This window comes from Homo sapiens, chromosome 15 (assembly GCF_000001405.40).
Source record: "Homo sapiens chromosome 15, GRCh38.p14 Primary Assembly".
NCBI lineage: Eukaryota > Metazoa > Chordata > Mammalia > Primates > Hominidae > Homo > Homo sapiens.
Genome location: NC_000015.10, coordinates 32702303 through 32715417, shown reverse-complemented (window position 1 = coordinate 32715417; position 13115 = coordinate 32702303).

The following is a 13115-nucleotide window of genomic DNA, read 5'->3' as shown; positions in this document are numbered from 1 at the left end:
GGTTGTGAGAAGAGTAGATTCTGCTCAGCCACTGGTTCGTAAAAGTAAAGTCCATTTCCTCTTTTTTTGCCCACCTGTGTTTGGAATGTGCTAGCCTCTCTGTAACCCCAAGAAGCTAAAAGAGGGCTACTCCCCAGGTTTGGAGAATAACTTTGAAGACCTTTAGAGAAGAGTTTTTACTTAGATCTGCAAAAGCTATTTACAGCTGTTCATCCAATTGCAGAGACTACGTATGCTGTCTTGCATAGGATTAAAAAAGAATAAAGCCCTTTACACAGTTGGAACTGACCTTGTATGCCCTTTCTAAAGAAAAAAAGTATTAACCTATAAACTTGATAATGATTAAGTAAAAACATATTTACAAGAGTCAAATACCAGTTAAATGGATCATATTCAGAATGAATTTTTCTTATAAGTTAGTAAGAAAAAAATCCCCACAAATAACCCAATAGGAAAAAAAAATTGCACATGGCCAAAGCACATGGGCAGGTAATTCACAAAAAAGAAACCTGGACAGCCAGTAAATATAAAAAGATGCAACATTACACCAGTAAATCAGAGAAATATAAACTGAAATGAGAAGATACTGTTGCTTATCTACAAAGTTACCAAAGATCTAAAAGTCTGACAATATCCAGCAATGGAAAAGGTAGAGAGAAGCAAGCAAGCAAATGCATTGCTAGTGAGAGGGTAAATTAGTACCATCATTTCAGAAAGTAATTTGTCAATTTGCATTAATATTAAACATGCACTTAGTATGCCACCCAGACATTACACTTCTAGGTAAACACCTTAGAAAAATTTGAACGTGTGTATGAGGACTAGAAACTTGTATAAGCATGTTTATCAAGGTATTGTTTGTAACAATCTTAATGTCCATCAACAAATATAGGAGAAGGCATAAGAAATTATTTTATTCATATGGCAAAATGCTACATAGCTAATAAAAGAAATTGATTAGATTTTTATATTTTAACATAGAGCTCAAAACATAGAGATGCTTTTTTTTAAAAAAAAAAGGAAGCTGCAGAATGATATAAGTAGTATGATACCATTATGTGTATTTTATAGTAAACATATAAAAATAGCATAAATTGCTTGTGAAACATATGGTCATGTGCATGGATAAATAGTGACTTGGAATCCATACCTTTAATGATGTTCACCAGAATGAGGAGGGGAGGAGGTGGATCAGGCATGGACGACAAAAGAAATTTCAACATTACAAACCATTTAAAAATCTTATGTCTTAAAAAAAATCTTGAAAGAAATATGACAAAATGTGGACAATTTGAATTTCTGGGTGATGGGTACATGGATGTGTTTGCTAGATAACTCTCTCTACATGTTGATAATGTTTTAAACCCTCAAATTTAAAACAAATGTGATGTTTCTATTATGATTTCAAGAGTGATTTTGAGCATCATTTGTAAACTGAACATTTTTGCTTCCCATGTGTTCTTTGTAACAAGCTCCAATCTGAGTAGGCATGCTTTCAGAATGCAAACAAGCCCTTATGTAAGTGTGTATGTCTGCTGACCTGTCTGAGGTGTATGCCTAACCAGTTTCCTGTGTATGGAAAATGCACGTGCATGTGAAAATTCTGGACAATGTTGCCAAATACAGGTATATGGAATGAGTTATTCAGGACCATTGTAATACAATTCTTGCCCTATTTCATGCACATATTTATTGCATATACTCCACGTGCAGTGCAGTATCAAAAGGTGAAGGCTTCAAACTGTGAACATAATCCTTCACAGTCAATAGTTCTGGCACAGTGGGAAAAAGCACGGAACTCGGAGTCAGGAAAGTCAGAGTAAATTCCTGATACTTCCCCTTAGAAGCTGAATGTCTCAATTAGGTATTTAAAGCCTCTGGGCTGAAATTCAACCATCTGTATTATAGGAATGGTGATAACACCCACTTCTGGGTAGATGCTGGAATTAAGTAAAACAAGCTCTGTGAAAGTGCCAGGCACCTAATAAACATCAGTGTCTGCATAGATACTAGAGTTCAACTGGGAGCTAACACAATAAAACAGTAAGTCTAATATCAGCGTCTGCTGGGTCTTATGTATCTTTTTTTTTTTTTTTTTTTTTTTTTTTTGAGGCGGAGTCTTGCTCTGTCGCCGAGGCTGGACTGCAGTGGCGCGATCTCGGCTCACTGCAAGCTCCGCCTCCCGGGTTCACGCCATTCTCCTGCCTCAACCTCCCGAGTAGCTGGGACTACAGGCGCCCGCCACCACGCCCGGCCAATTTTTTGTGTTTTTAGTAGACACGGGGTTTCACCGTGTTAGCCAGGATGGTCTTGATCTCCTGACCTCGTGATCCACCCACCTCGGCCTCCCAAAGTCCTGGGATTACAGGCGTGAGCCACCGCGCCCGACCGGGTCTTATGTATCTTTATATTCACTCTGGGTAACGCAGGGGTGGCACACGGCAAATGCTTGACAAAGCTATGAAATGAGTACTTGCACAGGGAGAAGGAAGGAAGGGAGGAAGAGAGGAGAAGAAAATAAGGGGAAAAGAAAGAGATAGAGGAAGAGATAAAGAGAGGGATGGAGGGAGGAAGGAAGGAAAGAAGGGAGAGAAAGGGAAGGAGGAAGACAGGAAAGAAAATGAGTGATACCTTCCAGTAAATGGCACAACAACTTTTTTTTTTTTTTTTTTTTTTTTGTAAAACCAGTAAACAGTTTTACCAAACACTTCTGGCTCTTTTTTGCCTGCACTACAAGAATCATGCTAACCTAAAGTTACCCTTCTCAGAATGGTTCCACTGCAGTGATAGAAGCTAAGAATAAGAGACCAGAAGATGCCCAAATGTGTAGTCAGACAGGCTGAAACTCCCATCCAAGAGACTGGGGAGTGAAACAAGACAGAAAGACAGAGACAGCAATGTATTTCTTAGCCAAAATTCACATACCCAGTGCCTAAATGTAACAGAGTCTGTGTGAAACAAGGCTCCTTCCTTTGTCTGCAGACAGGGTAACCTGTTACGTTTGAAAGGTTTATACCGAATGTATTTGTTTTGAGCTCTTTGATGTGACCTCACTCTTGGGAAAAAAATGTGATGGGACTTTATTCAGTTAATAATTTTGTGTTTTCCCTTATAGCTTGTGTTCTTCATTTTCTAAATTTTTTTTGGTGGAGGGTTTCTCTTTGAAAAAAGCTCATTTTAATGCAATTTTAAAATGCTAGTGCCTTGGGGAAGATCTGTTGAAAGTACCTATTAAACTGAAGGTTGCAAGGTTTTACCCCGCTGTCTCTGGCTATCCTGCTCCTCACTTTTTTTTTTTTTTTTTTTTTTTTGACTTTTGGCTTATTTAGTCCCTTCCCAGTCTTTGTTTCCTTGATGTCTCTGCTATTTACCAGAAGTCATTTTAGGATTCACGTTTTCACTCTTGTGTCCTTTTTTGAAGGCATGGAAGTATACGTGTGATTTTGCTCTTGCTGCCGCTCTCCTAATATGTCACTTGGACTGATTCATTACATCTTATAAAATATTTTATAACATGAAGTTATTGTAAAAATATTACAAACTCATCACAGAAAACTTGGAAATAGAGAAAAATACAAAGAAAATAAAAGTATGCCGTAATCTCACAATCCCCAAATAACCACTGTTTGCTCACACACACTGTATATATATGTACATATATGGATTTCCTTCTAATTATATAGTGTGTGTATATGTGTGTGTGCATGTGTATGTGTGTGCATGTGTATGTGAGAGAAAGAGAGAGAGAGAGAGAAGATGCTGTATATAATAAGATGCTTTATTTAACTTTTAAATTTAACCTAATATTTTGATTATTTTTGCGGACATTATTAAAATTCTTCAAAAATATCAGTTTAAGAGTAGTATAATATTCTCTTGTATGAATAACATACTATAACACTTTATTTTTTCTTATAGGATTAACAATGTGTGTGTGTATGTGTGTGTGTGTGTGTGTATACATACATTTCTTAAAGTGGCCTTTTATTAATTACTTAATGTGTACCAAACACGAGGCTTTATATGCATTATCTAATTTAATTACCTTAACACTCTTACGAAATTGCTACTATTGTTTGTTCTGTTTTAAAGATGAGAAAGCTGATGTCTAGAGAGGTTGTATGACTGTCTCAAGGGCACACAGCTATATGAAGCAGTGACAGCTGCTGACCCCTGAGCCCCATACACTGAGCTTCTACCCTCTATACTGTGAACAAGAGTCTACACCATACACTGTTAGAACTGGTATTCAAATACCACTATTTTTTCATGAAAGAAAACTATTCCTAAGTGCGAAATGACTTAAATAATTTGATAGTTGGTATTGTCAAAACATTTGGTTGTGTAAAATATGAACACACATATGAGGAATATGGGTTTCGATATCACATGAGTTTACTCATAAAGAATGCTGAACACATGGCCATTGAAAACCCATATGCCACCGGGCACAGTGGCTCACGCCTGTAATCCCAGCACTTTGGGAGTCCAAGGCAGGTGGATCACGAGGTCAGGAGATCGAGACCATCCTGGCTAACACGGTGAAACCCCGTCTCTACTAAAAATACAAAAAATTAGCTGGGCGTGGTGGCGGGCGCCTGTAGTCCCAGCTACTCGGGAGGCTGAGGCAGGAGAATGGCATGAAGCCGGGAGGTGGAGTTTGCAGTGAGCCGAGATTGCGCCACTGCGCTCCAGCCTGGGTGACAGAACGAGACTCCATCTCAAAAAAAAAAAAGAAAGAAAAAAAAAGAAAAGAAAAAGAAAAAAAGAAAACCCATATGGCCTGTCTTGAGGTTTCCTACAAAAACCAAAGCCTGCCTTATTGCCATTAGTTATTAATGACTGTATCAGTCTCTCTCTGTCTATCTCTCTCTCTCTCTGTCTGTCTGTCTGTCTCTCTCTCTCTCTATATATATATATACATTTTTTTTTTTTTTTGAGAGGGAGCCTCACTCTGTCACCCAGGCTGGAGTGTATTGGCACAATCTCAGCTCACTGCAACCTCTGCCTCCTTGGTTCAAGCGATTCTCCTGCCTTAGCCTCCTGAGTAGCTGGGACTACAGGCACTCGCCACCACGCCCTGCTAATTTTTTTTTGGTAGTTTTAGTGGAGACAAGGTTTTGCCATGTTGACCGCGGCTTGTCTCGAACTCCTGACCTCAAGAGATCCGCCTGCCTCAACCACCCAAAGTGCTGGAATTACAGGCATGAGCCCCTGCACCTAACCTGTATCAGTCTACCTTTAAAATTAGGAGCTTATAAGTAAGTTCAGTATTTTGGGCTTCTTCTCAAGGTAGAGAAGGATGGAGCTAAAGGTGGAAAGCAAATTCAATACCTGCTTTCCCTTCTAAAGATCAATGTGAACTTGTACACCAATTTGCACTTGGCTCACAAAGGGTCCAAATTTAAATCTCTTTTCAATCTTGGTTCCCTCTCCACTCTTCCCTTCGTAGCGTAATAGGTTGGATCATCTGGAATACGATTTCTCATTCCTTTTTAAAAGAAAGATGAAAAATGTAAACTGTGGGCTCCTCACTGCTTATGTCAGAGCAATACATGTGTGCTTTATATAAACTAACCATTTGTCTATTAATGTTTGCAAAGAACTCCGTAGACATGAGGCATTTGGGACACACTCTCTGGAGAAATGTGGTGCCTTTGGAGAGAGGATCAGAGAAGGAAGAAACCAATAGTAAGAGAAATTCCTTTATATGCACATGTATAATAAAATGTGAAAGAAAATCTACCAGTTGAGCATCGAGCTGCATTTTCCCTTAGGTTGAAAGTTAGCCAGTAGGAAGGAAACCTTTTCAAGGAGACTAGGTAACCTTGCCTGCAGTGTTTGTTTCTACACTCTGTTTTACTTGTTCGTGTGACAGAGAAAGAAAACAAAGCTGATGGACTTTGGACTGGACAATGTAGCAGTGTGTCCCCAGATACCAGCTTCCAGATGATCTCTCTTGGGTCTCCCAGATGGAGCAGAGGGTTTCTGGTGACTCTGGTCACTGCATCAGCCAGAGCAGACAGGATCTTAGAAGCTCCCAGGTGCACATATCTGCCTTTCCACGTCGCCACGATTTTGTAGGAAAGTGGCTGAGCATGGGATAGGCCCTTAAAGACTGTAAAGTGTGATTCTTGGTCATGTGGACATTAAGCCAAAGTAGAACAACTTTCTGAAAAAAAAAAATCGTAATGATTTTTGCAGTGCTACTCTGCTAGCCAGAGTGATCCATGGATGTCTGTGGAATAATTAGGATGTACTTCCCCTAGAGAAATGTATGTGCTGGTCTCTTGGCACGAGCAACTCCAGAAAGTTTACCTAGCCAACACCTCAGGACACTAGCCAGAACCCCTCGTTATGTTTCCACTCTTCCAACGAAGGAAGAAAGAAAAAAGGGAAGGAAGGGAGGGAAGGAGGGAAAGAGGGAGGGAGGGTATTGGTTCTTTTCAATAAGAAAGACAAATTATTTCAGATAACAGCAGCTTCCCTTAAATGGTATTTAAGCTTTAACTCTATAGTCCTAAATATCTATTTTAACAGCAGTGATTACTATGTGAGCTCTGCACTGTCAATCTAGAGAAAAGAATCTTGCCACTAAGAAGAATTTCAAGGTGAGAGTTCGCTTTTAATACGCACATATAACACAGACATTCAATTGCACACATGTAGAAAAGAACATGAGAGGAGTGCACAGCTGAGTAGCAAGCATCCACTCCTGCCCCTGGTGTTCAGTGCCAGCCTGATGGTCTCCAGCTAATGTTCTCTGTGCACATGCAACATTTGAGCCCAGCAGGAGCTGAGCACATACCACAGACCACCATGTTCACACGTTTGCTCTTGCTCCTCCCTCCCCTCAGAAGTTCCCACCCTTCTCTCTTCTGGTTGAATTCCTACTCTGACCTCAAGCCTCCTTCTCAGAGCCTTCTGCCTTTTCTATTATTCTTGTCATATTTTTCCTTTATTGTAGTTACATGTATGCTGGACACATCTTCTTCAATGAAATGTAGACTCCTTGCATGGAGAAAGTGTCTCCTTCCTCCTCTTTGAGTCCCTGTGGCCCTAGCACAGGCTGAGTTGAATCGTAACTAAAGTGCTCCAGGTCTCCTCATCATTTCCCCTGCTGTCTTCTATTTTTATCCCGTCACCTGTAGGAACTGTGTCGGAAGAACTAACTGCTAGAGTTTCTCCAAAGTGTCGCGGCCAGTGGCAGTCCAGTAGCTGTCTTGAGTCCATCCTGACTCTTCGCGGCCCATCCCCAAGTCCAGGTCACGGTCATTTCTCACCTAAAAGGTTGCAATTGCTTCTTTATTGCTCTCCCCACTTTCACCGATGCTGACCCAAAGCCACTGGACACTTCTTCTTTTTTGTTTTTTGCTTTTTTGTTTGTTTTGTTTTGTTTTGTTTTTTAGATGGAGTCTTGCTCTGTCACCAGGCTGGAGTGCAGTGGCGCAACCTCAGCTCTCTGTAACCTCTACCTCCCAGGTTCAAGTGATTCTCCTGCCTCAGCCTCCCGAGTAGCTGGGATTACAGGCGTGTGCCACCACACCCGGCTAATTTTTTTGTATTATTAGTAGAGATGGGATTTCACCATGTGGGCCAAGATGGTCTCAATCTCTTGACCTTGGGATCCACCCTCCTCGGCCTCTCAAAGTGCTGGATTACAGGTGTGAGCCACTGTGCCCAGCCTGGACATTTCTTAACTTATATACTAAGCCATGTCCTTCCTTTGACTAACGCCCTTTCTTCCTGGCTCTTACCAAATTTTTAAATTATGCAATTTGTAGATTTGCTTGGTTTTTGTCTGTTTCCTCCGCGTGCCTGTAAGCTCTGTGGGGGCAAGAACCGTCTTTGTGTGGCTCACTGAATCCCCGGCCTCTACATGGCACTTGGAGTACATAGATGCTCCCAGACCTTTGTTGAATGAATAGATTAAAAGTGCAGCTGTTCTTATTTTCCTTCCTGTTATAACCCTTGCTCTAGCCCCCTTTTTGCCTTGCTTCTGTTTCTGATTTCTCCTCCTTCATTTTTTTTTTTTTTTTTTTTTTGAGACAGGCTCTTACTCTCACCCAGCAGGCTGGCGTGCAGTGGTGAGATCACAGCTCACTGTACCCTTGACCTCCTAGGCTCAAATGACCCGCCCACTTCAGCCTCCCAAGTAGCTGGGACTATAGGCACACACTAATTTTTGTATTTTTCGTAGAGATGGGGTCTCACCATGTTGCCCAGGCTGGTCTCGAACTCCTGGGGGCAAGAGATCCACTCATCTTGGCCTCCCAAAGTGCTGGGATTACAGGCATGAGCCATTGGTGCCTGGCCTGGTTTCTGCATTTTACCTGGAACTCATTGGAGAACTGAAACTCAAGAGCCTCAAAATCTACAACTGAGCCTAGGGGAGCCTCAGTCCTTAGTTTTGTCGTGGAATCAGAGAGCACATTCCTGTGCTCCAGGTGCCCCACCCACTGAATAACAGCGGAGGCAATGATGGCACTGACTCACTCTGGAAACTGCAACTGCACCCCGATAAGTTCTCCCTGTAAAACCAGTCACAAGATGACATTCCTCAGACCCCAAAGAAGTGAGTAAGTTTTATGGCCTGTGTCAGGGTAACATGCACTCTGCTAAAAATAACATGGTAAAATTTCCTAAGAAATAAATAATGCACCATTACTTTGTGTTTCTGGGAAACCTTAAGGATTTGTTGTAGAAAGATATTTTAGTTTTCTTAGCCTGGTGAAAAAGCATGCAAAGGAAAAAGTCATATTGGATAAGAGAAAGAATATTTGGGTATGTGGCCAGGAATGATGCACGTTTTGCCACTTATTTCTTTTACGTTTTAATCTTTTTGGAAACAGAGGCAAGTAACTAGCCAAGTACATTTGAAGGGCATCCATAGTTCCAAATGCCTCTCCCTTTACAATTTATTGATGAAGGACTAAGTAGCTCATCTAATTCATCTTGAGGAGATAGGAAAATGCTTATGGCAACAGCATTTTATCATGGTTGTGAGGCTTCTGAAAACATAATTCCAAACGATAGGAATGGTTTGCAGAGCCATCTGGGAGGAGATGGGCTGATTAGGAATGTCTGGGGCCTTAGAAATAAATTCAGGTGAAGTCGAAGCATGTTTTTCAGATCTGGTAGATTTTTGTGAGACTATTTATGGCTGGGTGTAGTTTAGCAGGCTTCTCGTAGAGCAGTGGAGTCCCTGTGTTCTACAACCTTCCCTCCGGGGCTTTTGTATTCACCCATTCTCACACCATTTCTGGTTGCAATTGTGTGCAATGTTTCCCCAAATTCACTGTGTATCAGAGTCACTGGAGAAACAAAACAAAACAAAAAATTGATCCCCAGAGCTTGCTCTAGACTACTGAATCAGAATTTCCTGGGCCAAGAATCTGTATTTTTACAAAGCTCTCCAGATGATTCTGATAAGCAGCCAGGTTTGACAATCACTGGTGTGGTGGAAAGAATTCTGTTTGCATCTAAGCTCAACCACCAACTACCTAAGCAACTTTAGAGATGGCAACTCTTGGGCTATCAGGAAACAGAGAAAATGATGCCTATGTCACAGGGTTATTGAAGAATTAAAGGAAATTACATATGTGATCTATCCCAATGCAAATTTAGTAGGCTGCGTTAGTTAATACTCTGCTGATGACCTAGAAGCTTAAAAGAGTTTTTTTCTCTAAAAAAGTGTTTAGCTTCCTCTTCTGTGTTTGATTCCTTATGAAACTTGGTTTCCCCTTTCATCAGTCACCAAGGATCAGGCCATATGTAGATGAATCATAATACCATTATGCCATGTGTTCTAAGAGCCTTCCAAGTGCATTGCTGCAAGAAAAGCTCAACATTTAATGTATATTGTTTTTCGATATCTCTTTCCAAATTGCCAGTACAATTTCCATTCCTGGGAAATTACATAGACATGTCTGGATCCAGTTCTTTTATCTTTGCATTTCCAACTGCTCTGTTTTCCTTCTTTCTTCCCATCAAATTCTTATATTTTGACAGTTTTAAGACCAGCTCTTCCTTGATCCTTTCCTTCCTATAATATATTGAATTGAAGTGAGCCCATTTCCCTTAGTGAGCCTTCTCTCCAAACACAAAATACTCTGAAGTTCAGATTCTCCTTCTGTGAGTGGGTTAACATCACACAAAGTTTGTGGTTTCATCCATCATAAACAAGAGTGTTTTACATGAACTCTGTTTCTTGTCTCCCAAGAATCACAGAAAGGTTGGGGCAAAGTGAAATAAATTTTCAGAAAGAAAAGTTACTTATTAAAAATAGCAGTGATAAAAATATGTAGATTGATTTAGTAGGAAGAATTCGTAAATTGTTTTAACTTAAAAGGAAACACTCTTGCAGGCATTCACAATGAATCAGGAGGAAAACACTTTGGCTTCTTCAAAAAGCTATTTACTCTCTTTGGTGTTCACAAAACATATCCAACAAAAGCCTTTTCTCTTACGATGCGAGGGAAGAAGGCAAATTGCATTTGGGAGCATCTGATCATACTTCACTCAGGAATGTTATGGGTTTTGGTTGTGTGCCCAGCTGATCTGAGCATATTAGCAAACATAGTAATAGTATTAGCTGCTGACAGTGTTTGGTATCAAACACATCCATTTGCAAAAATAGAAGAAATACTATATTCACATTTTCAATGCTCCCCTTTACTTAAATACCACAATGTGGTTTGAGTTGTGAATCTATTGAAGACATCTTTGATGAATCAACAGTCAAGGCATATGTAGAAAGTGATTTGGAAAATTTTTCCTGGGTTGTTGGTGGGGGAAGGGAGATAGTGTTGGGACATTTTCCATTCTCGTTCCTGCTTTTTCATTGGCCCCTGCCGCTTCCTAAGTCTATCTGCTGTTAAATGAAGATAACTCCCTCTCTCATACCCCAACGTCTCATCTCTCAGGGCTTTCTGGAGTACGACAGACTAATTGCAAAGAAATTTGACCTTCTTGGATAACTGGTGCCATCTAAATACCACGCGTTATTCCCCTGTCAGACACTCTAACGTAGGATGAGCCAGGCTGAAATCTTCCAAAAGCTGTGGAGGATAAATAAGCTCACATTCCAACTCAAAAATCAACAATAACAAAAAAGCCAAGCATAGTGAAAAATGATAAAGATCAGCCTCCGCTGTCACCTTTTTCATTCATACCATTGTACTTTTGGGGTCTATGTCATGGGGATGGTTCCTATGTCAATCCTAATGATAAAGCTTGAGTTTGGTTTACGTCTGTGCTGCGATTATTCATCTTCTTTCAAGCACTATTTCTTACTTTATCAACCAGGAAGGCGGGAAAAAATGATCTCTAAAATTCTACGGTTTTTCACTTTTCTCCTTTGGAGCTATTATAAGATAGTAAATTGATGGTAAAACTGAGATCAGGACAGCTGGGCTCTACTTTGAATTTTCATAGAGCTTCAGCTTACCTGGGTTTTGGCTATCCCTATATGGAAAATATAGATCAGTGGTCTTCAGCGTTTTTGGCACCAGGGACTATTTTTGTGGAAGACAATTTTTCCGTGGATGGCAAGGGGCATATGGTTTTGGGATGAAACTGTTCCACCTCAGATTATCAGGCATTAGATTCTCATAAGGAGTGTGCAACCTAGATCCTTCACATGGACAGTTCACAATAGGGTTTGCACTCCTATGAGAATCTAATGCTGCCACTGATCTGACAGGAGGCGGAGCTCAAGCCGTAATGTTCACTCGACCGGGGCTCACTTCCTCCTGAATGGCCCAGTTCCTAACAGACCACAGACCAGTATTGGTTGGTGGCTCAGGGGTTGGGAACCCCTGATGTAGCTGATACCTGACTCCTCAGGAGACAGGCTTTTGGAAGCAAACTGGAACACCAAATAGATGCACTCCCACAGATGTTGAAGTTGGAAGAGAAAGAAAAACATCTATTTTTCTGCTGCTGTTTCTGCTATGAGAGATGGTAGCTGCAGGCAGACTCACCATTCTTGTGTCAAGACAATGACTTTGGGAGTATCACACATCATTGGTAGTGATGTGGTGGTGGCAGTGACACCAACCACTATTTCCTGACCTCTGGATTCCAGCTATGTGCGTGACCTTGAACTGGTTAAACTGAACTGTGGATCCCTGCCTCATGCTCCTCCACTTCTTTAAATAATTTTGTAAGCACATAATTCCTTGCATTAAATCCCTTTCATATGGAAATATCCAGAGTAAAGAGTTTGTTTCTTGCCCTGAAATCTGATGAATTCTGAATTTGGCATCTAAATAGAGGTTTAACACAGGTGCCATATTGCAGGGAATTTCACATCACAGGATCTTCACATCAATATGATAAGGTAAGTATTACCTTTCCCATTGGTTACATGAAAGAACTAAGGTTTAGTGAGATGGAATTATTTGCTCAAGGCCACACAACTTGTAAGTCACAGAACCCGTCAAATGCAAATCTAATTACAAAGTTTTTGTATCTAACTACTCTGTTAAACTGTGATGCCATGGGATCAAGTGTGTAATAATAGTGTACAAATAGCTGAATATTTATGGTTGCAAATGTGCTTTAAACTCCATGAAGGAAGAGCCTATATCTTATACCTCTTTAGTAAGACTCCCCAGTCCCAGAATATAGCTCAGTATTTGGCACATAGAATAGATCCTTGATAAGTTACTGCTGAATGAATAAATGAATGGTATCGTGATGAGTCCTAACAAGGAAGGTGACACCTTGTGGGGAAGTCACTATAGTTTCCAAATGGGCTTTATTAAGATGCGTCTCACTCCTCAGGTGTTCAGTTGCCACTGCTAAAAGCCATTACAAATATTTTTGTTTCCTGTGTGTATAGTTATGGTTTCTGTTCAGAAGAATGGCTTATCAACAAGTTCTACTGGCACATAACATTCATCAAACAATAGAACATTCAGTCTATTAGGATGGGCTGTTAGGTTTTTCTAACTCAGCCCATCTTATAGCAGCTCTTTTCTAAAAGAGCCTTTCTTTTGCAACTTATAAGTTAATAAGTTTTTAAACCCAAATTCAAGGACATGGTTCTACAAGAATCTTTGCAAACACCCTGCCTTTACTTGTGGCCTTCAGAAGCCGATGTGTGACAC